At 39.4% G+C, this 24679-nt stretch overlaps 1 protein-coding gene across 47 annotated transcripts in view, besides 1 other annotated feature; it reads left to right on the top strand.

Moving 5' to 3' along the window:
- Positions 1-24679, top strand: part of NEB (nebulin) — a 249138-nt gene that overhangs the window by 22956 nt on the left and 201503 nt on the right. For all 47 annotated transcript variants that reach the window (XM_011511227.3, XM_011511226.3, XM_005246613.3 and 44 more), the window contains exons 11-27: positions 983-1087; positions 1758-1865; positions 4524-4640; positions 13873-13977; positions 14064-14171; positions 14269-14373; positions 14786-14884; positions 15839-15943; positions 16892-16999; positions 17085-17198; positions 19159-19260; positions 19355-19462; positions 19553-19657; positions 20696-20794; positions 23125-23229; positions 23788-23895; positions 23989-24102. In XM_011511227.3, the coding sequence (XP_011509529.1) occupies positions 983-1087; positions 1758-1865; positions 4524-4640; positions 13873-13977; positions 14064-14171; positions 14269-14373; positions 14786-14884; positions 15839-15943; positions 16892-16999; positions 17085-17198; positions 19159-19260; positions 19355-19462; positions 19553-19657; positions 20696-20794; positions 23125-23229; positions 23788-23895; positions 23989-24102 (1815 nt within the window). The remainder of the gene's footprint in view (positions 1-982; positions 1088-1757; positions 1866-4523; positions 4641-13872; positions 13978-14063; positions 14172-14268; positions 14374-14785; positions 14885-15838; positions 15944-16891; positions 17000-17084; positions 17199-19158; positions 19261-19354; positions 19463-19552; positions 19658-20695; positions 20795-23124; positions 23230-23787; positions 23896-23988; positions 24103-24679) is intronic.
- Positions 6871-7423: an enhancer, noted in NCBI's record as "NANOG-H3K27ac-H3K4me1 hESC enhancer chr2:152560612-152561164 (GRCh37/hg19 assembly coordinates)". NCBI's record gives its function as "activates a minimal SCP1, AML or CMV promoter by ChIP-STARR-seq in primed H9 embryonic stem cells {active_cell/tissue: H9 hESC(primed)}" and the evidence as "EXISTENCE:reporter gene assay evidence [ECO:0000049][PMID:30033119]".

Below are 24679 nucleotides of genomic sequence, written 5' to 3'. Positions count from 1 at the left end.
GAGGGCTAAGTTTCCTCTAACCCAAGCTCGTTGACTCTGCACATCACTCACCTTCTCTTAAAGGTATACCAGAAAGACATTTTCTTTTTCCTTAAAGGGTATTGTGGGGATGTAGGCATATGCCAGTGCCTTGAGACCCATTAGTTATGTCTGTTAACACATTTTTATGAGCCATGGAGGGAGAATTGCTCTAACTCAGCTTGGGCTCTAGCTCATGGACCCAGGTTTGGGGTTGGCTTGGTTAATTCTGCTCCAAGAACACTTCAGCCAAGGTATTTCAAAACCGCATATCATGGTCTCAGTTTAGTGTAGTTGAACAAACATTTATGATGTAACTTCTGTGTGCTGCATTTTGTGTTGGGTTCTGAGGCTATGAAAGTGAAGAAGACATACCACTTCTCTCTTCCAGGAGCCTTACAGCCTGGGATTCAGATGGAGTGGGATTTGGGAGTCAGATGGGGCAATAATTCAATTTTTGAATTACTTTCCAGTTCCTATTAAATTTAACTCTAAAGGCGAAGATCTATTCGTTAGCCTGCAAGTTGAATTTTATTGTGGTTGTTTCTTTCTGGAAAACTAGGAGTGTTTGTAAAGCTTAGAAATTAACGGCTAAGTTCATTTGGCATAGAAATCTCAGGTTGATAGGTTGTATTGTAACTGAAATATAAATAGAGGATGACTTCTGACTCTATTTCTTTAAACATCAGGGGACATCTGCAACTTCCGAATGAATGAAGTCCCCAAACTCAGCAAGGGGAGGGGGCGTTAGTACCCTCTTTCTCCATTCTCTATCCCTATCGCCCAACTTTCTGGTTGGGTAAATTGACAGTACATTGGAAGATTTTTTTTAAAGGCATTTATTAAGGACCTAAGAATGGCTTGCTGAAGATATTTTTAAAAGTTAATCATTATTTCTTAATTTGCTGTCTTATTTGTCAATTCATGAGTTATGCTTGTCTTATTTTCTTTTTCTTTTTTCTAGCAAAAATACAAAGAAGACTATGAAAATAAAATCAAAGGCAAATGGAGTGAGACACCTTGCTTTGAAGTTGCAAATGCCAGAATGAATGCTGATAACATTAGCACAGTTAAGTGGGAAGGGATGGCTGGTTGGTCATCCTGGGAGGGAGACCCCTTTCCTTAGTGACTTCTAGCTACTTGCTCTACCTGAATGGGTGCCAGAACACTTGAGGCCCCTCTTCTTGGGGCAAGACCTGGTGCAGAGTTCCTTTTAAGAAAGAAATTTCCCAAACTCTCTTTCCTTTTGAGAAATATTATTTTGGCCACATGCCATTATTTCTACCTCAATTTTTACAACACATTATGGTAAGACCCTCTTACTGACTGCAAAGTGAGATTAGTACAAGTTAAAGGGACTCTTTTTAATTATTCTTTGCCTGAGGAGCCAAATTGTACAGTTATGAAATTGATTAATTTAGCATCTCCTCACTGGAAAACATAAGTCTATTGTTTTTCTTTTCTCTTAAGTTCCCTGCTCCTGGCCCTTAAGAGATCTTTCTTGGTAGCCAAGAAAAGCCTTTCTAATTCTGTTTTTAGCCTATTTTAATTGTTCTAAATCTCTGTTAAGTTGCTAATCATTTTTGTAATGGTACCACATTCTCTAATTGTAATCTGACCAGCCTAAACCAAGGACAGGGTGGCATTGTGTAACTTTTCCAAATCCCTGTGTCTTCTCATGGAAATTCTTGCATAGTTCATTTCCACAGCAGTTCTTCAGCTTGTCTGATGTCTTACAGAGGAAATACCAGGAAGATTTTGAAAACATGAAAGACCAGATCTACTTCATGCAGACCGAAACACCAGAGTATAAAATGAATAAAAAAGCTGGTGTGGCAGCTAGCAAGGTATGAGGAAATCATCCCATTTATCTTGATGGTTTGAGTGTGGGTAAATTTCTTATAACTTTGGCTCTTGTATATAATTAGTAAAAAAGGGGAGGAGTGGTTCTTGGGGGAACTACCAGGGCTGAGACCAGTGGATGTGAGGCATTTGAAAAAGAGTAGAATTGAAACAACAAGAACAACAACAAAAGTACTTTGGAATTATAATGGGGCTACTAAAAATGTTTTGCCATGTATGAGCATTAATAACATCTAATTACCATCTTCAATATTTCCTAATTTATTATTTGCCTGAGGAACCAAACTGTACATTTATCAATTTGATTTAGTGTCTTCTCACTGGAAGGGCCTTTTGCTGTTTAGAAGGAGAAAGATTGTAATCTTAGACAGCAGGACTTCTCCCCCCAGGAAGAGGCAATTGGTGGCCTTATATGAAGATAGGCAATCATACATGCAACACTATCATTATTTTTCTTATTTTCCCACTGACTATGAAAAAACCTGGTCGCAGGTTCATAAATCCATGGATATTTCCATATGTTTGATTGAGTGACTTTGGTGAATGGCCTGAGTCCTTAGCATTCTAAAGCACGATGGTCACTAAAGAGAGCATAAACTTCGAAGCCAAACACACTTGGTTCTAACCCTGGCCTTGGCTATGCTGGAGAAAGCAGGATTACATCACTTAGAAGGCTATTACAGCATCCACGTGTAAGACGGTGTTTTGGACCAGGAGGGTAGCAGGGCAGGTGATAAGAAGTCTTTTGAAAGCACAGCTGACTTGATTTGCTGATGGATTGGATGACACGGGTTTTGGTCTAAGCAGTTAGATGAATGGGGTTTCCCTTTATTGAGACAGGGAAGACTATGGAAGAAGTTGGTAATTTTTTTGGAGGACAGACAAGAGCTCATCTTCAGATATGGTAGATTTGAGATGCCTTTTAGACATCCACATGGAAGTGTCAGAGGTCAGTCGACTACATGAGCCTGAAGTTTCAGGGGAGATATATGGAAAGTTGTATAAACTGGGGTGTCATCAACATACAGAGAGTGTTTCATGCCATGAGTCTGGAGAGCATCAAGGGAGTGAGTGTAAACAGAAAACTTTAGGGGCTGAGCTCTGGGGTCCTTCCATGGGAACATATATGTAAGATGAGGGAGAAGCAAAATCAGGAGAGGGCAATGCGTTGGGAAGCAAGTGAAGGGGGAAGGGAGTCATCAACTGTGTCAAATGTCTCTGAAATGGATTTACCAATGTCTGGTCTCTGGTGACCTGAACAAGAGCAATTTGGTGGAGTCTGCTTAGAGAGGATTCACAAGTGAATGAAAAGAGGGAAATTGAAGATATAAGTATATTCAACTCTTTCTAAGTATTTTCCTGGTAAGAAAAGAAGAAAATGGGCAAGTAGCTAATGAAAAACTGGGTAAAGAGGGACTTTTTAAGATACGAAACAAAAGCATCATGTTGATGGAAAGAATCCAGTAGAAAGGGAAGATTTGGTGATGTTGGAATGGGGAAGAATGTCTGGAGTGATATCCTAGAGCAGGTGGAAGGGGAAGAGATTTGGTGCTTAAGAGGAGGGGATGGCTTTGCCACAAGCCCTGACAGTTCATCTGCATAACAGGGGAGAAGGCTGTGTATCCCAGATGCGGGTAGGGGGAGAGTAAAGTTTGTGAATCTGCTTTCTGGTCGTTTCCATTTTTCAAGGAAACAGTTAATTCTCTAAGGTGGAAAAGTGATCTGAGTCTCCCATTACTGTAGCATACTGTCGTGATGCTCTGTGGAGGCTGAGGGGTTGATGCCTCTGTGCTTCCCTTGTGTATCTCTTGCCTTTGGATACCAAGCTGATTGCCTTGTTTTCTGAGTTCATAAGTGGTAGATTTATCTAGGATTCCTTGAACTTCTGTGCTTATATTGCCTGAATAAAGGGCTTACACTGGGGATCATGGTGGGAACCAGGATCAGTTTCTTGTTCTAATCCCTGTGGACAGGCTCCTGATGGGGGCTTGTGAACCCTGCCTTCCCTATTCTCCCCCAACACCCCTCAACTTGCTGCTTCTGCCATAGCTGGAATTAAAAGTGCAAATAGGAACAGCAGAAGGAAAAGCAAGGCTCCTTCTCCCTGCTCCATCCTCCTCCTCCTACTTGTAAATTGAATACATGTGTGCTCCATGCACAGTTGCAGGTGAGGCATAAAAGCGTGGATTAGTGGTACTTCCAGCTTCCTTTCTTTAGGAGCGTGTTGGCAGGTAGGTAGCTGGGGGTTGAGAGCTGAGTGAAGGTTCTATAGCAGCAGGTATCTGGGACATTATGCATGATCACTATTTGGATTTCTTTCTCCCTCCTATTATTTCTGTATCTCTCTCTTTGAGGGCAAGGACCATGTGTTCTTTCTTATATCTGTCCCCAAGCCAGAAACAGAATTGACACCCTATGGATAATTTTGAATGAATAAATGAATGGGAAGAAAAAGCATCCTGGAAATTTATGCAGTTTCTCTGCTGCTTTTAAGAGTTACTATGAGTATTTTGTTTATAAAATGTCAAGCTGCCATTTTTCTAAAGAGAAAATTGATTTGTGGAAGTATGTCATATTCATAATAGAGACGGGGGCAAAAATAACCCATAGAGTTACTTTATCATTTTATTTCACTCCTACAGGTAAAATACAAAGAAGACTATGAAAAGAATAAAGGAAAAGCAGATTATAATGTGCTTCCTGCTTCAGAGAACCCACAGCTTAGGCAGCTGAAGGCAGCAGGAGATGCCCTAAGTGACGTAAGTATATTTTTGTCAAAGTGTTTTTAAACCTTAGCTGCAAAAGAGATGAAAATTTTCTCCTTTAATGACTAAATGAATATATAACTTTGCAAATACATTAAGGTTATGGAGTGGTAGGTTCATTGGAACTATGTAACCACAGAAAGGCATGAGTCCCTCTGAGTACAATGTGCCTTACTGTTTGTGGTTCTGTGGGGTTAATTCAATGGGCAGGGAAATTCTCACTTGCTTAGGAGCTCTGGGCACCTGGGCCTCCATATGGATGTGTTGCTTATGAGCTCCGGGCACCTGGGTCTCCACATTGCAGACGTGTTGTGATTTTGACAGAAGCAGAAGGAGACTTTCAAAGATAGATCTTGGCCCCAGAAACCATCATTTGCCAACAACAGAACTTAAAAGATGGGCCCCTAAGTCTTCACAGGACTTTCTAATTGTGTAATTATTAAGAGCCCGACTAAGCCGTTCAATTTAAAGCATATTAGGCAAACGAGACTGGGCTTGGGATTAAAGGACTAACAGCCTGAGAGAGAGAGAGAGAGATTGAATATGTGATGATTTGAGTTTATCTCTTACGGTTAGGTTTGCATTAAGCTTTCCTAGCATTTGTGGATTTTATGTAGCTGTCTGTGTGGGTTAGTTATCTTTTCTTTGTCCCTTGAACTAAGTCAGCAGCATAGGAAATATGTGTGTGTGGTTGGGGAGCAGGTGTGGGAAAGTGGCAAGTGAGAGGGTATAAATGGATCTGCCCAAATAGCTCTGCTGGGAAATCACTGTAAAGCACGTTTGCTTTCTTTTAAAAAACATTTTATTTCAGTCATTGTTGGGGTACAGGTGGTTTTTGGTTACATGGAAAAGTTCTTTAGTGTTGATTGCTGAGATTTTGGTGCACCCATCACCTACAGTGTACACTATGATCAATATGTAGTCTTTACTCCCTCACTCCCACCCCAACATTCCACTCAAGTCCCCAAAGTCCATTATATCATTCTTCTGCCTTTGTGTCCTCATAGCTTAGCTTCCACTTATAAGTGAGAGCATATGATATTTGGTTTTTCATTCCTGAGTTACTTCATTTAGAATAATGGCCTCCAGCTCCATTCAAGTTGCTTTGAAAGACATTATTTCATTCATTTTCATGGCTGAGTAGCATTCCATGCTGTATATATACCACATTTTCTTTATCCTCTCGTTGGTTGATGGGCCCTCAGGTTGGTTCCACATCTTTGCAATTGTGAATTGTGCTGCTATGAACATGCTTATGCATGTGTCTTTTTCATATTATTTCTTTTCCTTTGGGTAGATACTCAGTGATGGGATTGCTGGATTGAATGGTAGTTCTATTTTCAGTTCTTTAAGGAATCTCCATACTGTTTTCCATGGTGGCTGTGCTAATTTATATTCCCACCCATAGTGTAAAAGCAGTTTGAAGCAGTTTTACTCTCTAAGTGAAAAACATCCTTATTAAACATCTAAAAGCCCAAGTTCAAATCTCCTTTGTTGATAAAGACAGGAATATAAAAATATTAAACATGAATAGCATCATTTACATTTTGAAAACCCAGAATGAAAAAAGTGACAATAATCTGCTTTATCAGCTGCATATTTAAAACTAATCATTGCTTCTTCTTGTTCAAGCTAAAGGTAAATCCTGGCAGAGAAGAAGAGTTAGTAGTAACTCTTAGTACCAGTTCATATATATATATATAATTTTGAAGGCTAATTGTTTGTATAATAAGAGATTTCTTATAGGTATAGGAGGGAGGGAGATTGCGTATTTCTCACCTTATATAACTTTTTCATGAAGGTTTGTTTAAAAAAATTAAACAACTTGCAATTGCTTAAAACCTGTGTTTGCTGTGGTGCTATCAGTGAGGAAAGAGTATGTGAGCTAAGAGACAGAGAGGGCAGCAATTTACAAATACACAAGAATCTCTGCTACTAAGGACGTGGTCAGAGGTGGCATATTGGTTTCTTAATTTTTTGAGTTTGGGGAGGAGCCAAGATGGCCGAATAGGAACAGCTCCGGTCTACAGCTCCCAGCGTGAGCGAGCGACGCAGAAGACGGGTGATTTCTGCATTTCCATCTGAGGTACCGGGTTCATCTCACTAGGCAGTGCCAGACAGTGGGCGCAGGTCAGTGAGTGCTCGCACTGTGCGTGAGCCGAAGCAGGGCGAGGCATTGCCTCACTTGGGAAGCGCAAGGGGTCAGAGAGTTACCTTTCCGACTCAAAGAAAGGGGTGACGGACGCACCTGGAAAATCGGGTCACTCCCTCCCGAATATTGCGCTTTTCTGACCGGCTTAAAAAACGGCGCACCACGAGATTATATCCTGCACCTGGCTCGGAGGGTCCTACGCCCACGGAGTCTCGCTGATTGCTAGCACAGCAGTCTGAGATCAAACTGCAAGGCGGCAGCGAGGCTGGGGGAGGGGCGCCCGCCATTGCCCAGGCTTGATTAGGTAAACAAAGCAGCCGGGAAGCTCGAACTGGGTGGAGCCCACCACAGCTCAAGGAGGCCTGCCTGCCTCTGTAGGCTCCACCTCTGGGGGCAGGGCACAGACAAACAAAAAGACAGCAGTAACCTCTGCAGACTTAAATGTCCCTGTCTGACAGCTTTGAAGAGAGCAGTGGTTCTCCCAGCACGCAGCTGGAGATCTGAGAACGGGCAGACTGCCTCCTCAAGTGGGTCCCTGACCCCTGACCCCCGAGCAGCCTAACTGGGAGGCACCCCCCAGCAGGGGCACACTGACACCTCACACGGCAGGGTATTCCAACAGACCTGCAGCTGAGGGTCCTGTCTGTTAGAAGGAAAACTAACAAACAGAAAGGACATCCACACCAAAAACCCATCTGTACATCACCATCATCAAAGACCAAGAGTAGATAAAACCACAAAGATGGGGAAAAAACAGAACAGAAAAACTGGAAACTCTAAAACGCAGAGCGCCTCTCCTCCTCCAAAGGAACGCAGTTCCTCACCAGCAACGGAATAAAGCTGGATGGAGAATGACTTTGACGAGCTGAGAGAAGAAGGCTTCAGACGATCAAATTACTCTGAGCTACGGGAGGACATTCAAACCAAAGGCAAAGAAGTTGAAAACTTTGAAAAAAATTTAGAAGAATGTATAACTAGAATAACCAATACAGAGAAGTGCTTAAAGGAGCTGATGGAGCTGAAAACCAAGGCTCGAGAACTACGTGAAGAATGCAGAAGCCTCAGGAGCCGATGCGATCAACTGGAAGAAAGGGTATCAGCAATGGAAGATGAAATGAATGAAATGAAGCAAGAAGGGAAGTTTAGAGAAAAAAGAATAAAAAGAAATGAGCAAAGCCTCCAAGAAGTATGGGACTATGTGAAAAGACCAAATCTACGTCTGATTGGTGTACCTGAAAGTGATGGGGAGAATGGAACCAAGTTGGAAAACACTCTGCAGGATATTATCCAGGAGAACTTCCCCAATCTAGCAAGGCAGGCCAACGTTCAGATTCAGGAAATACAGAGAACGCCACAAAGATACTCCTTGAGAAGAGCAACTCCAAGACACATAATTGTCAGATTCACCAAAGTTGAAATGAAGGAAAAAATGTTAAGGGCAGCCAGAGAGAAAGGTCGGGTTACCCTCAAAGGGAAGCCCATCAGACTAACAGCAGATCTCTCAGCAGAAACCCTACAAGCCAGAAGACAGTGGGGGCCAATATTCAACATTCTTAAAGAAAAGAATTTTCAACCCAGAATTTCATATCCAGCCAAACTAAGCTTCATAAGTGAAGGAGAAATAAAATACTTTACAGACAAGCAAATGCTGAGAGATTTTGTCACCACCAGGCCTGCCCTAAAAGAGCTTCTGAAGGAAGCGCTAAACATGGAAAGCAACAACCGGTACCAGCCACTGCAAAATCATGCCCAAATGTAAAGACCATCGAGACTAGGAAGAAACTGCATCAACTAACGAGCAAGCTAACATCATAATGACAGGATCAAATTCACACATAACAATATTAACTTTAAATGTAAATGGACTTAATGCTCCAATTAAAAGGCACAGACTGGCAAATTGGATAAAGAGTCAAGACCCATCAGTGTGCTGTATTCAGGAAACCCAACTCACGTGCAGAGACACACATAGGCTCAAAATAAAAGGATGGTGGAAGATCTACCAAGCAAATGGAAAACAAAAAAAAGGCAGGGGTTGCAATCCTAGTCTCTGATAAAACAGACTTTAAACCAACAAAGATCAAAAGAGACAAAGAAGGCCATTACATAATGGTAAAGGGATCAATTCCACAAGAAGAGCTAACTATCCTAAATATATATGCACCCAATACAGGAACACCCAGATTCATAAAGCAAGTCCTGAGTGACCTACAAAGAGACTTAGACTCCCACACATTAATAATGGGAGACTTTAACACCCCACTGTCAACATTAGACAGATCAACGAGACAGAAAGTCAACAGGGATATCAAGGAATTGAACTCAGCTCTGCACCAAGCGGACCTAATTGACATCTACAGAGCTCTCCACCCCAAACCAACAGAATATACATTTTTTTCAGCACCACACCACACCTATTCCAAAATTGACCACATACTTGGAAGTAAAGCTCTCCTCAGCAAATGTAAAAGAACAGACATTATAACAAACTATCTTTCAGACCACAGTGCAATCAAACTAGAACTCAGGATTAAGAATCTCACTCAAAACCGCTCAACTACATGGAAACTGAACAACCTGCTCCTGAATGACTACTGGGTACATAACGAAATGAAGGCAGAAATAAAGATGTTCTTTGAAACCAACGAGAACAAAGACACAACATACCAGAATCTCTGGGACGCATTCAAAGCAGTGTGTAGAGGGGAATTTATAGCACTAAATGCCCACAAGAGAAAGCAGGAAAGATCCAAAATTGACACCCTAACATCACAATTAAAAGAACTAGAAAAGCAAGAGCAAACACATTCAAAAGCTAGCAGAAGGCAAGAAATAACTAAAATCAGAGCAGAACTGAAGGAAATAGAGACACAAAAAACCCTTCAAAAAATTAATGAATCCAGGAGCTGGTTTTTTGAAAGGATCAACAAAATAGATAGACTGCTAGCAAGACTAATAAAGAAAAAAAGAGAGAAGAATCAAATAGACACAATAAAAAATGATAAAGGGGATATCACCACCGATCCCACAGAAATACAAACTACCATCAAAGAATACTACAAACACCTCTACGCAAATAAACTAGAAAATCTAGAAGAAATGGATAAATTCCTCGACACATACAATCTCCCAAGACTAAACCAGGAAGAAGTTGAATCTCTGAATAGACCAATAACAGGAGCTGAAATTGTGGCGATAATCAATAGTTTACCAACCAAAAAGAGTCCAGGACCAGATGGATTCACAGCCGAATTCTATCAGAGGTACAAGGAGGAACTGGTACCATTCCTTCTGAAACTATTCCAATCAATAGAAAAAGAGGGAATCCTCCCTAACTCATTTTATGAGGCCAGCATCATTCTGATACCAAAGCCAGGGAGAGACACAACCAAAAAAGAGAATTTTAGACCAATATCCTTGATGAATATTGATGCAAAAATCCTCAATAAACTACTGGCAAAACGAATCCAGCAGCACATCAAAAAGCTTATCCACCATGATCAAGTGGGCTTCATCCCTGGGATGCAAGGCTGGTTCAATATACACAAATCAATAAATGTAATCCAGCATATAAACAGAGCCAAAGACAAAAACCACATGATTATCTCAATAGATGCAGAAAAAGCCTTTGACAAAATTCAACAACCCTTCATGCTAAAAACTCTCAATAAATTAGGTATTGATGGGACGTATTTCAAAATAATAAGAGCTATCTATGACAAACCCACAGCCAATATCATACTGAATGGGCAAAAACTGGAAGCATTCCCTTTGAAAACTGGCACAAGACAGGGATGCTCTCTCTCACCACTCCTATTCAACATAGTGTTGGAAGTTCTGGCCAGGGCAATTAGGCAGGAGAAGGAAATAAAGGGTATTCAAGTAGGAAAAGAGGAAGTCAAATTGTCCCTGTTTGCAGACGACATGATTGTATATCTAGAAAACCCCAGTGTCTCAGCCCAAAATCTCCTTAAGCTGATAAGCAACTTCAGCAAAGTCTCAGGATACAAAATCAATGTACAAAAATCACAAGCATTCTTATACACCAATAACAGACAAACAGAGAGCCAAATCATGAGTGAACTCCCATTCACAATTGCTTCAAAGAGAATAAAATACCTAGGAATCCAACTTACAAGGGATGTGAAGGACCTCTTCAAGGAGAACTACAAACCACTGCTCAAGGAAATAAAAGAGGATACAAACAAATGGAAGAACATTCCATGCTCATGGGTAGGAAGAATCAATATCGTGAAAATGGCCATACTGCCCAAGGTAATTTACAGATTCAATGCCATCCCCATCAAGCTACCAATGACTTTCTTCACAGAATTGGAAAAAACTACTTTAAAGTTCATATGGAACCAAAAAAGAGCCCGCATCGCCAAGTCAGTCCTAAGCCAAAAGAACAAAGCTGGAGGCATCACACTACCTGACTTCAAACTATACTACAAGGCTACAGTAACCAAAACAGCATGGTACTGGTACCAAAACAGAGATATAGATCAATGGAACAGAACAGAGCCCTCAGAAATAACGCCGCATATCTACAACTATCTGATCTTTGACAAACCTGAGAAAAACAAGCAATGGGGAAAGGATTCCCTATTTAATAAATGGTGCTGGGAAAACTGGCTAGCCATATGTAGAAAGCTGAAACTGGATCCCTTCCTTACACCTTATACAAAAATCAATTCAAGATGGATTAAAGACTTAAACGTTAGACCTAAAACCATAAAAACCCTAGAAGAAAACCTAGGCATTACCATTCAGGACATAGGCATGGGCAAGGACTTCCTGTCTAAAACACCAAAAGCAATGGCAACAAAAGCCAAAATTGACAAATCGGATCTAATTAAACTAAAGAGCTTCTGCACAGCAAGAGAAACTACCATCAGAGTGAACAGGCAACCTACAAAATGGGAGAAAATTTTCGCAACCTACTCATCTGACAAAGGGCTAATATCCAGAATCTACAATGAACTCAAACAAATTTACAAGAAAAAAACAAACAACCCCATCAAAAAGTGGGCGAAGGACATGAACAGACACTTCTCAAAAGAAGACATTTATGCAGCCAAAAAACACATGAAAAAATGCTCATCATCACTGGCCATCAGAGAAATGCAAATCAAAACCACAATGAGATACCATCTCACACCAGTTAGAATGGCAATCATTAAAAAGTCAGGAAACAACAGGTGCTGGAGAGGATGTGGAGAAATAGGAACACTTTTACACTGTTGGTGGGACTGTAAACTAGTTCAACCATTGTGGAAGTCAGTGTGGCGATTCCTCAGGGATCTAGAAGTAGAAATACCATTTGACCCAGCCATCCCATTACTGGGTATATACCCAAAGGACTATAAATCATGCTGCTATAAAGACACATGCACACGTATGTTTATTGCGGCATTATTCACAATAGCAAAGACTTGGAACCAACCCAAATGTCCAACAATGATAGACTGGATTAAGAAAATGTGGCACATATACACCATGGAATACTATGCAGCCATAAAAAATGATGAGTTCATGTCCTTTGTAGGGACATGGATGAAACTGGAAATCATCATTCTCAGTAAACTATCGCAAGAACAAAAAACCAAACACCGCATATTCTCACTCATAGGTGGGAACTGAACAATGAGATCACATGGACACAGGAAGGGGAATATCACACTCTGGGGACTGTGGTGGGGAGGGGGGAGGGATAGCATTGGGAGATATACCTAATGCTAGATGACGAGTTAGTGGGTGCAGCGCACCAGCATGGCACATGTATACATATGTAACTAACCTGCACAATGTGCACATGTACCCTAAAACTTAAAGTATAATTAAAAAAAAAAAAAAAGAGATGGAGACCATCCTGGCTAACACAGTGAAACCCTGTCTCTACTAAAAATACAAAAAAATTAGCCGGGCATGGTGGCAGGCACCTGTAGTCCCAGCTACTCGGGAGGCTGAGGCAGGAGAATGGCATGAACCCAGGAGGCAGAGCTTGCAGTGAGCCGAGTTTGTGCCACTGCACTCCAGCCTGGGCAACAGAGGGAGACTCCATCTCAAAAAAAAAAAAAAAAAAAATTAATGAAGTACTGATACAGGGTACAACAAGGATGAAGCTTGAAAACATGCTAAGAGAGAAATCAGAAAGAAAAGATCACATTTCATGATTCAGTTTAACCATTTCAAAGTGTATAATTCAGTGGCATTAATTACATTTACAATGTTGCACAAATAATACCATCTCATTCCAGAATTTTTTTTAATCCCCCCAACCATAAACCTCATACCTATTCTCCCTTCTTTCCAGGCCTTGGCAACTACAGAGTTTTTGGTGTGTTTTTGTTTTGCTTTTTTGAGATGATGAAATGTTTTAAAATTGATTGTGGTGACAGTTGCACAACTCTGTAAACATACTAAAATCCATTGAATTGTATACTTTAAATTGGTGAATTGTGTGGTATATGCATTAAATCTCAATAAAGCTGTTACAAAAAAAAGAAAGAAAAAAAATTTTTTTGAGTTTGGAATGTATGAAACTTAGGCCTTATAATAATTGCTAACAGAACAGTCTTATAATTCATGACATTCCGTGTTCGATTGTCAGGTTTTTTTCTTTTTGTTTTGTTTTGTTTTGTTTTGTTTTGTTTTGAGACGGAGTCTCGCATTGTCGCCCGGGCTGGAGTGCAATGGCGCCATCTCGGCTCACTGCAACCTCCGCCTCCCGGGTTCAAGCAATTCTCCTGCCTCAGCCTCCCAAGTAGCTGGGATTACAGGCACCCGCCACCATGCCCAGGTAACTTTTTGTATTTTTAGTAGAGAGAGGGTTTCACTTTGTTGGCTAGGCTTGTCTCAAACTCCTGACCTCGTGATCCGCCCGCCTCGGCCTCCTAAAGTGCTGGGATTACAGGCGTGAGCCGCCGCACCTGGCCTCAATTGTCAGTTTTTAAGACAGTTGACAGGCGATATCTTTTCTTCATCTTTTGTTTAGTGTTAGAAAATGTAAGTGTTATAATCAGCGTGGGAGTGACAGGAATCTACTTTAACTGAATTTTTTTTCTTTGACAGAAACTATACAAGGAAAACTATGAAAAGACAAAAGCAAAGAGCATAAATTACTGCGAGACCCCCAAATTCAAGCTCGATACTGTTCTGCAGAACTTCAGTAGTGATGTAAGCAATCCTACTGTCACTCTTTCTGTTAAAAAAAGAACCCATTATTTCACCAATTAATAAATGAAGTATGTTTTGTCTTGCAGAAAAAATATAAAGATTCCTACTTAAAAGATATTTTGGGACATTATGTAGGCAGCTTCGAGGATCCATACCATTCACACTGCATGAAAGTCACAGCTCAAAACAGTGATGTAAGTTCTAAGACAATTGTTTGACTTTCCAAATAACATTTTTCTCAGGGCATGAATACAATGGCTGCATCTTATGCCTAATTTCTTCTCCTCATAGAAAAACTACAAAGCAGAATACGAAGAAGACAGAGGCAAAGGCTTCTTCCCTCAGACCATAACTCAAGAATATGAAGCAATTAAGAAACTAGATCAGTGTAAAGACGTAAGTCTGTAGTCTGAACTTTGAATGTGACTGCCTTCCATAGCATCTAGTGGTCAGGATATGTTTAAAATGTTGCCACTTTTACAAATAAATGTAAGCCAGGCAATCGCAAGAAATGAAGTCTATTTTGTAGTAAACATCCTATTTTCCCTTGTTGACATCCCTACATTTTAAGAGGTAATTCTAGCTCATTTTCCCAAAGAAGAGTTATTGGAAACCCGAAGATATAGGAAAGTTTCTCATACAGATATAAGAGCACCTCTCAAACTACAGTCTAGTTAGAAAAAAATATATTTTATTAACTACAAGTTTCATTGCTTTGTGGGGCATGAGGTTCTATTTGCTTGGCCTGTGGGCCACCTTGGATCTGACAGGTGATACTACTAAACCAAATGCCTTTGCTTCCCCACAGCACACCTACAAAGTCCATCCAGATAAGACAAAATTCACCCAAGTTACAGACTCTCCTGTTCTGCTACAAGCCCAAGTCAATTCCAAACAACTGAGTGACGTAAGTTCCTCTAACTACTCAGGACACCCAATTATGAGGGATAACATTTCATAACTCTATACATAAAATCCAATGACTTATCAAGTTTATTCAAAAGGCTAAGTAAGTATTAGCAAGTTTAAACAGTATACATTTGTATAAAAATATATTTCTGCATTTTCTTGGGTGGATAAAATTTACAGTGAAACAATTCTGTGAAGGAAACAAATGTAGCTTAAAGCAATGGAAAGAACATGAGTTCTAGAGTCAAACAAAACCGCATTCAAATGTTAGCTCTGTCATTGATGTCTGGGTGGCCAAAGATTTAACCCCCCTCTGCCTGATATTTCCATTTTATAATTTGTGGCTGTTTTGAAGAGTAAGTGAAGGAAGAAATATGCACTGCACATACCCTGGCCAACAGCAGGTATTCAGTACATGAATTTCTCTCTCCCTAGTAAGTTTCTGGAAATTGGAATCTCTGAGACAAATTTTATTATATGAGCTTTAAGTGTGGATTTCCAAAGCTGTGTTGAACTAAAAAAATAAAAGTGACCTCAATAGATGAATGGCCAGAAATGAAGGCTCCAATTAGAGCATCAAAAGCCCTGATGTCTGTGAGAGGACTCTTAATCAGATGAAAGGAAAGTGGCTCTGGTACGTGAGCACTGACAGTGACAAGAGAGACAGGGCGGGGCCCCTCTCAGAACCTGCAGGGACAATTGTGCTACGCAGGGAGGGGAACATGTTTGACAGAGCCACCTCATTCCCTTAGGGTCCTACCATGGTGACAGATGTGATAATAGCTGCCAAGTGTCCTGCACACAGGATCAGTAATGCAGATGGCCTACCCAAGCTCTAGATGTCTCTTCTGATCTCAATAATGCTGTCACTAACTTTACAAAATGTACCACACAAGAATTTTTGTATTCTGGAACAATTCTTCTGAACTAATTGGTTCTCTCTCTGTCATAGTTAAATTACAAAGCAAAACATGAAAGTGAAAAGTTCAAGTGCCATATCCCCCCTGATACTCCTGCTTTTATCCAGCACAAAGTCAATGCCTATAACTTGAGTGATGTAAGTTCCTTATGCCCTGTACCATGTGATGTACTGACAACCTGTGCTTTTATGTTTGAACTGCTTTGTTGCAATTCAATGAATAGATTAATGTTAAAAATGAGAAGAACTGTTAACATTTGTATCATGTTGCTATGCCTCTGCCAGTATAACTGAATTCACCTTACAAAATATGTGTAGCAATCTTATAAGTAATTTCATACAATTAGATAATCGTAATATATAGTATTGTAACCAGCCCTCAGAATGCTACGTCTCATGTATGCTTAATTGCAAATTTTAATGGTAGATCTTTTAGCCATATATTCATTTAAATTATATATAATTCATTTATTCCCTGGGCCTATAATGTCCCTTATTTCACACAAATGATACTTATTTCTACATATATGAGAACTTGCATGAATAAAGATATAGGGGATTGAAAGGGCAGAAGTCCAGATACCCATTTCTATCCTTCATTTTTCAAACTTAATTTTATAGAAAAGTTAAATTATCCTTGGGGTTCTCAATTTCTTCAATAATTCTATAAATGAGTACTAAGATTATCTGGCATCACTGAGTATTGTAATGATTTATGAAATAACCTTTGCAGAGAACTTAAAGGTCAAATGAAAGTGATGCCTTTATATCATAAAAAAGTAAGTTAACTGTAGAATATATGTGCTACTCTATAAAACATTCAGTGTTAGGAATCAAATATGAGTATAATAGCTAGAATTAAATTAATTTGATAAAAAATTCTCATGGGGAGTAGAGAAGCCCAATCTTGGAGAATTAATAGCTCCAGCTTGAGAAGAAATATTTAAAATATGCATGATTTCCTAGACAATAAAAAGGGCCCATTTATTTTATATTAAGATAAGGTATTTAGTTACCCACTAGTCTTTAAAGGTCGTGACATGCATATCACTTTTGCCAATTCCTTTGCTGAATTTTTTTGTCCAGAATCTTTATAAGCAAGACTGGGAGAAGAGCAAAGCCAAAAAGTTTGACATTAAAGTGGATGCCATTCCCCTGCTGGCAGCCAAAGCCAACACCAAGAACACCAGCGATGTGAGTGTGGCCTGGGGACCTGGACAGGCTGGCTTCGGGGACATTTCCTCTTGAGTGGAATCTGGCATGTGTGATGTCTTTGCAGGTGATGTACAAGAAAGACTATGAAAAAAACAAAGGGAAAATGATTGGAGTCCTCAGCATTAATGACGATCCCAAGATGCTGCACTCCTTGAAGGTGGCCAAAAACCAGAGTGATGTGAGTTTCTTTGTAATTCACCCCTATTTTCAGACGTGGCCACAAAGTTGCTGTTTAATATAACCTTGGATGGACGTTAGCCTAACTGAAATCTTGGATTCAAGATGACAAATCACACATGAAAGCTTCACCCAGGTGCTAAAGGAAGATGAACTTCCTTATTCTTGTTGATGCCTTTGATGCCAGTGAATACTGCAAATTTTCCTTAATCTCCTTAATGCCCTCTGTTTTATTAGGAGGAAAAATATTCTGCCAATATCATTGTTTTTATTATTTTTCCTAGAAACGAGCTTAATATACATAAGTATAGGTACATGTGCATGTATATATTCACCCAATGCCCTGAACTGATTAAGGTAGTTTGCAAAAATATATATATAGGAAAATGAAAAGAAGTAAAGAAATTAATGTAAGGGCAAAGTAAGAAAAACTACATAAGGCATAAACTCAAAAGCAAAGCATTTTATTTTAAGAAATTTATAGAATATTGATCTTATTTTAAAGACTTTAACATACTTATTAAAAATAAAATATGACCCAGCAATCCCATTACTGGGCATATACCCAAAGGAATATAAATCATTCTATTATAAATATATATGAACACATATATTCATTGCAGCACTATTCACAATAGCAAAGACAAGGAATCAACAACGATAGATTGTATAAAGAAAATGTGGTACAGATAGACCATGGAATACTGTGCAGCCATAAAATGGAATCAGATCATGTCCTTTGCAGGGACATGGATGGAGCTGGAAGCCATTATCCTCAGCAAACTAACGCAGGAACAGAAAATCAAATACCTCATGTTCTTACTTACAAGTGGGAGTTGAATGTTGAGAACACATGGATACATGGGGGGTGCAACACACACTGTTGGAGGCTGGGGGTGGGGGAGGCGGGAGAACATCAGGAAGAATAGCTAATGGATACTGGGCTTAATTCCTAGGTGACAGGATGATCTGTGCAGCAAACCACCATGGCACACGCTTCCCTATGTAACAAACCCACAATCCTGCACATGTACACCTGAACTTAAAATAAAAGTTGGAAATCAAACAAAAAAATAAAAAATAAGATAAAACTCTTCACAGAAATTGCTTTCCTAATTCCTAGCAGAAAAGAAACACAGACAAGTAATATTTTCATTTATTATTGCTCTAAAGAAAACTGTTAGGTCTTAATGTTAATAGCCAGCTTCCGGAGGTGTTACAAAATGCGTTTTCACCAAGTGCTCAACAGAATACTCTTCCAGGACTGTGCTTAATTATCTAAGGTTCACCTTATACCCTTTACCTCATTTTGCATCAATTCTTAAACTCATTTTTCTTTCCTTCTTTGTTTTTTGAGACAGGCTCTCGCTCTGTCATCCAGGCTGGGGTGCAGTGTCACGATCTCGGCTCACTGTAATCTCTGCCTCCCAGGTTCAAGCAATTCTCCTGCCTCAGCCTCCCAAGTAGCTGGGATTACAGACATGTGCCATCACGCCCGGCTAATTTTTGTATTTTTAGTAGAGACGGGGTTTTACCACATTGGCCAGGCTGGTGTTGAACTCCTGGCCTTGAGTGATCTGCCCACCTTGGCTTCCCAAAGTGCTGTGATGACAGGTGTGAGCCCCTGCACCTAGCGAAACTCATTTTTCTTTAAACATATTCAAATGAATTACTTTAAGACAAAAAATTATTTAAAAAAAGACAGCATTGGTGTGCGTTTTTCAGTCTGAAAAAATATTAGGAAAAGTAACATAAACATCTTCATGATTATTAGCAGATGAGATTATATAAGGCATGAGCCTCTACCACATCTATTCTGCTTTTCTGCTTTGTGGAAAATTGATGGTGAGAAAACATAAATTTTGCCCCTTCAGTTAAAGTGCAGCAAAGACATGAATGACTTTTACTTTATGAGATATATATTTCTTTCTTTTTGGTTTAATTTATTTTTCCTTTAACAGAGATTATACAAGGAAAACTATGAGAAGACAAAGGCAAAGAGTATGAATTACTGTGAGACCCCAAAATATCAACTTGATACTCAGCTGAAGAACTTCAGTGAGGTTCGAAAAGCCACGGTTACCTTTCGGGTAGGAGGGCTTTCCTACTGTTTGACAAATGATTGTTAACTTGAATTACATTTGTTTTATTTTTCAGGCTAGATATAAAGACTTATATGTAAAGGATGTTTTGGGACATTATGTAGGCAGCATGGAGGACCCATATCACACACACTGCATGAAAGTTGCAGCTCAAAACAGTGATGTAAGTTTGAAGACAATGGTTCATGCCTCACAGTGACATTGTTTGAGAGCCATAACAATCATGATCTATTTTTGGTTTTTCTCATTATAGAAAAGTTACAAAGCAGAATATGAAGAAGATAAAGGAAAATGCTATTTCCCTCAGACAATAACACAAGAATATGAAGCAATCAAGAAGCTGGACCAGTGTAAAGATGTAAGTTAGCTGCCCTGAATTATTGAAATTGAGCTTGGGATTCCTGTGACATCTAGTGGTAAATTTAGCAGGAGTTTACATGCTAATATCTAGTGATTAGAAGGAGATAATTACATTTTACATTTTGGTTTTGGGGTGGAACCGGGGAACACAACAATTATGTTGAGGAAGGCCATTTGCTACAAAATTTCAGATTTTTATAAATCTTAATTTTCATTAGTTTATATCTACACGAATTTGGGGCAAAAGAAGGACATGCAGATTTAAGATAAGTGTTCATTATTTAACAAATTCTATGTGAGAAGCCATGCTGGGCCAGGCACTTTCCTTGGTGCTGAGAAAGACAGAGAAAAAGCCAGCCACCTCTTGAGCTCCCACTGGAGTGGAGGAGACAAGTAATAAACAAAGGAAGGAGCACAGAAATAAGAAAGATATCAAGCAATAATAAGGAAACTAATACAGGATGATGATACAGAATTAAAATAGGACAATGTGTGAGACAGTGACTGGATGGGCGTCTTAGGTTGGGTGGTCAAGGAAGGTCTAAAACAGGCATGACCAGTCAGGCCAAGGTCAGGGGAACAGCAGCAGGGAAGAACGGCCTAAGGAGAGAACAAGCTCAGCATTTAAGGAATTGAAAGGATGGGGTGGCTGAAATTTACTGGGGAGGAAGACAGTAGTAAGAGGTGAAATGGTTGGAGATGAAGGAGGGGATGGATTCTGTAGGGATCATAAGCCAACGTGCAGTTGAAGCTGAGTACCAAGTTGACTAAAGAGTCACTGTGTAAGGCTTCAGCAGGGTAAGGTTAATCTGGTTGCTGAGTTGCTGTAGGCAGACCAGAGGCAACTTGGGAAGTGGGGATTAAAGGAAAAAGAGAGAGAGAGAGAGAGACAGACAGAGAAGTGAGAATATAAACGCATCAACTAAGTTTTCAGGAACAAAATAAACTCTGTTTTGACCTGGAACCATTTTTTATGTTAGCGCATGTATAACCAAGAATATACTGATATTTCATTAAAGAACATCTTCTTTTCTAGCATACCTACAAAGTTCATCCAGATAAGACCAAATTCACGGCAGTCACTGATTCTCCTGTACTGTTGCAAGCCCAGCTCAACACGAAACAGCTTAGTGATGTAAGTGCTTTGATTTATGCAAGCGTGGGTGACCCAGAGTGCTTTGCTCATTTAAAATGTAAGCATTTACATGCTTAATCTTCATGGGCTCATCTACCATCCCAATATTATTATTTTTCAAGATTTGTTTAATAAAACACAAATGAGGCTGCTAGATTGAATTGCAGCCTGAGGAAAGTTGTGTTAGACAATAATAAAAATAAATATTTTTTAATAACTCACTGATTTTTAGTAGGACTATCTTACTTATTCATTAGGATCTGTCACATGCACACTAAAACTTCATGCCAACTTAAATAAACAGTGACAACAAAAGCATCTATTTGTGTAGGACAAGGCAAATATTTCCGATTCTTGAATTTGCTAACAAAGATTTTGCAAAAAGAAAGGGCACAGTAACAAGACAGACATCAAACAGTGATAAGAAAACTAATATAGAATGGTGCTACAGAATTAAAGTGGGATGACATCAAGAACTGGATGGGCACTTTAGATTGAGTGGTCAAAGAAAGTCTAAGACAGGCGTGGTCCAGTCATGCCAAGATCGGGGGAAAACAGCAGTGCTTCTCAGACCTCCACATTCATGCAATCGCCTGCTGACCCTGTTGAAGTGCAGATTCTAATTCAGTAGATCTAGGGGACTCCATATTCTGACTTTCTAATAAGCTCCTAGGTGATGCTGATGCTGTGATTGGTAGGCTACTCTTTGAACAGCAAGGTGCTAACATAGCTAAGTCCTAGAGAGTAGTACATCCTTCTCAAGATAGGTAAGTGAAAGATACAGTTTGTCCTACTATAAAATATATTTTAATGACACAAATTAGCTCATACCCAATTAGTAAAGAGGAGAATGGCATCAGTATAACTCAGAAGTCATTTCAGCTCGTGTGCCACTTTTCTGAGCATCTTAATATTTTGTGTCCCAATAAAGAACAGCTAAACACTAACATCACTGATCTAGCTGAACTCAGCAAGCTGCAGAGAAATACAGTGCTGTATGTGGTCACAGTCACTATCAATCACTCTTCTTATTGGCTTAGGTAGGCAATGGACTCTGCCTTGGAATTACTTCTTGCATAGTTCTCAATCTTGTGCATTTTTGCCTTTGGCTCCAAAATTAAACAGCCTCATCCGTTCTTTACACTCCCTTCCTTACACCTAACGTCACCTTTTAAAAAATTTAAATAAAGTTCTGTGTTTAATAATTTAAATAAGAATTCACAGGCAGGTGCAGTGGCTCATGCCTGTGATCCCAGCACTTTGGGAGGCTGAGGCAGGCAGATCAGTTGAGCCTAGGAGTTTGAAACTAGCCTGGGCAACATGGTAAACCCCATCTCTACAAAAAAATAAAAAAATTAGCTGGGTATGGTGGCACATGCCTGTAGTCTCAGCTACTGAGGAGGCTGAGGTGGGAGGATCACTTGAGCCTGGGAGGCGGAGGTTGCAGTGAGCCGAGATTGTGTCACTGTACTCCAGCCTGGGTGATGGAGCCAGACACGGTCTCAAAAAAAAAAAAAAAAAAAAAAAAAGAGTATATATCTTTTTAACTGTGCTAGTATTTTATTTAGAATTATTGTTGTTTTTGTTAGTGCTTTAATTACAGAAGTTCGTGTTCTCCAGACACAACCTAGCAGTATAGACTGGAAATGTGTTCCTGTGTATATAACAGAATCTATGCAATGGCAGCTGGCAGCCCAAAGTATGGTTACACAGCAATCCCCCTTATCCACGGTTTTGCTTTCCATAATTTCAGTTACCTGCAGTCAACCATGGCCTGAAAATATGAAGTGGAAGATTCCAGAAACAAACAATTCATAAGTCTTAAATTGCATGTTGTTCTGAGTAGCATGATGAAATCTCACACCATCCCCCTTTGTCCCTTCTTTATCAAGATGAAGGGTGAAAACATACAGTAAGATATTTTGAGAGACAGAAACCACATCCACATAACTTTTATTACAGTTTTGTTATAATTTTTCTATTTATTAGTTATTGTTGTTAATCTCTTACTGTGCCTAATATATAAATTAAACTTTATCACAGGTATATATGTATAGGAAAGAACATGGTATGTATAGGGTTCAGTGCCATCTATGATTTCAGGCAGCTACTGGGGGTCTTGAAAAGTATCCCCCAAGGACAAAGGAGGACTGTGCCACAGTCCCTGAAATAGGGGATGAAAGTTTGAATCCTGTGCGAGACTTTGACTGAATTGAGTATCTCTTTGAGGCATTTTTCTAAAAACAGCACTAATGCCTTAGCTATATATGCTGCCCTAAATAAATTCAAAGAAGTTCCCCTGAACCGTTCAAATATCCTTTGTTTTTCAGCTGAATTACAAAGCAAAACATGAAGGTGAGAAGTTCAAGTGCCATATACCAGCAGATGCTCCACAGTTTATCCAACACAGAGTCAATGCCTATAATCTGAGTGATGTAAGTACCAAAGCCACAGAAGCCTATGTTTGGTGTACATGAAAAGAGAAAATGTTTTAAATTTTAAAAGACAAGACAAGGAATTGTGCAAATAAACAACTTTAAGATGGTTACTTTGTAAGTGGAGCTTTTAAGGCCAAAATGCTCTTAAGACTCCTACTTATCTATCAGATTTCATTTTCTGTGGTCTCTGTTACTATCAGAAGATCTCCAATTACCCGTCTACTATTCCCTGGAGTTTTACAACATCTTTCCCATGTAAATTTCACATTTCACCTTCTCCAAGTGAGTGTCACTTTATAGCATCCTTATGTAAATCAGGACAGCAGAGTGCTTAGAAAGTTTACAGAACATTAAAAAGAGTAGTTGATACTTATTTAGTGGTAGGGAGAAAGAAACTGGATGATAGATAAATCAATACTTATACTACAATTTGATAAATATAGTTTTTATAGGAGAAATAAGTCTATACATACACAAATTTTCAATATGTTTTTATTTTTTTACTGGATTACACTGTTGTTCTTATCATTCCTTTGCTGAATTTTTCTTGTCCAGAATGTTTATAAGCAAGACTGGGAGAAGAGCAAAGCCAAGAAGTTTGACATTAAAGTGGACGCCATTCCCCTGTTGGCAGCCAAAGCCAACACCAAGAACACCAGCGATGTGAGTGTGGCCTGGGGACCTGGGGACCTGGACAGGGTGGCCTTGGGGACATTTCCTGGTGAGTGGGATCTGGCATGTGTGATGTCTTTGCAGGTGATGTACAAGAAAGACTATGAAAAGAGCAAAGGGAAAATGATTGGAGCCCTCAGCATTAATGACGATCCAAAGATGCTGCACTCCTTGAAGACAGCCAAAAACCAGAGTGATGTGAGTGTCTTTGTGAATCTGTCTTGTTTTCAAGATGGACTCCCTGTTACGATGCCCAAGGGTAGTAGTGTGGAAAAGAATTTCATGAGCATGGGCTCTTTCACATCACATTCACAAAAGTACTGCTGTAGAGAACTTCAGAATGATGCCCTGGATTATTGTGCCTCCCACATTTGAGGGGAGAAATTACTGATTTGTACTTGATGTCCATTTCACTTTGAAAAATGTATGCATTAATATTTAATAGAATATTGATTGTATTCTTAAAACCTTTTGGAAAACATCACTAGATATTTTCATATTTTCTTCTAATTGAAAAACAATTTTTAAAATGATAATTTTCAAACTGTCTTTACTTTGGAAGACATTTATGAGTCACAAAAATCTTAATAGAGTATCGTTCTTCATTGACTTTAGTAATGAGTTTGGTCTAGATCCAAGAAAAAGACTCCATTGATTATAAACCCCCCTGAGACTCTGATAAAAGATTTGAATCATCTATCTAGAAAATGAACATTTCTTTTCATGCCTTTTGCCTGAATTTTGGTGAACTCATGGGTTGCTTAAGGCTCATCTA

The sequence above is a fragment of the Homo sapiens genome, chromosome 2 (genome assembly GCF_000001405.40).
Source record: "Homo sapiens chromosome 2, GRCh38.p14 Primary Assembly".
NCBI lineage: Eukaryota > Metazoa > Chordata > Mammalia > Primates > Hominidae > Homo > Homo sapiens.
The sequence above is the reverse complement of the archived record's forward strand: the minus strand, read 5'-3'. Positions and strand labels throughout refer to the sequence as shown.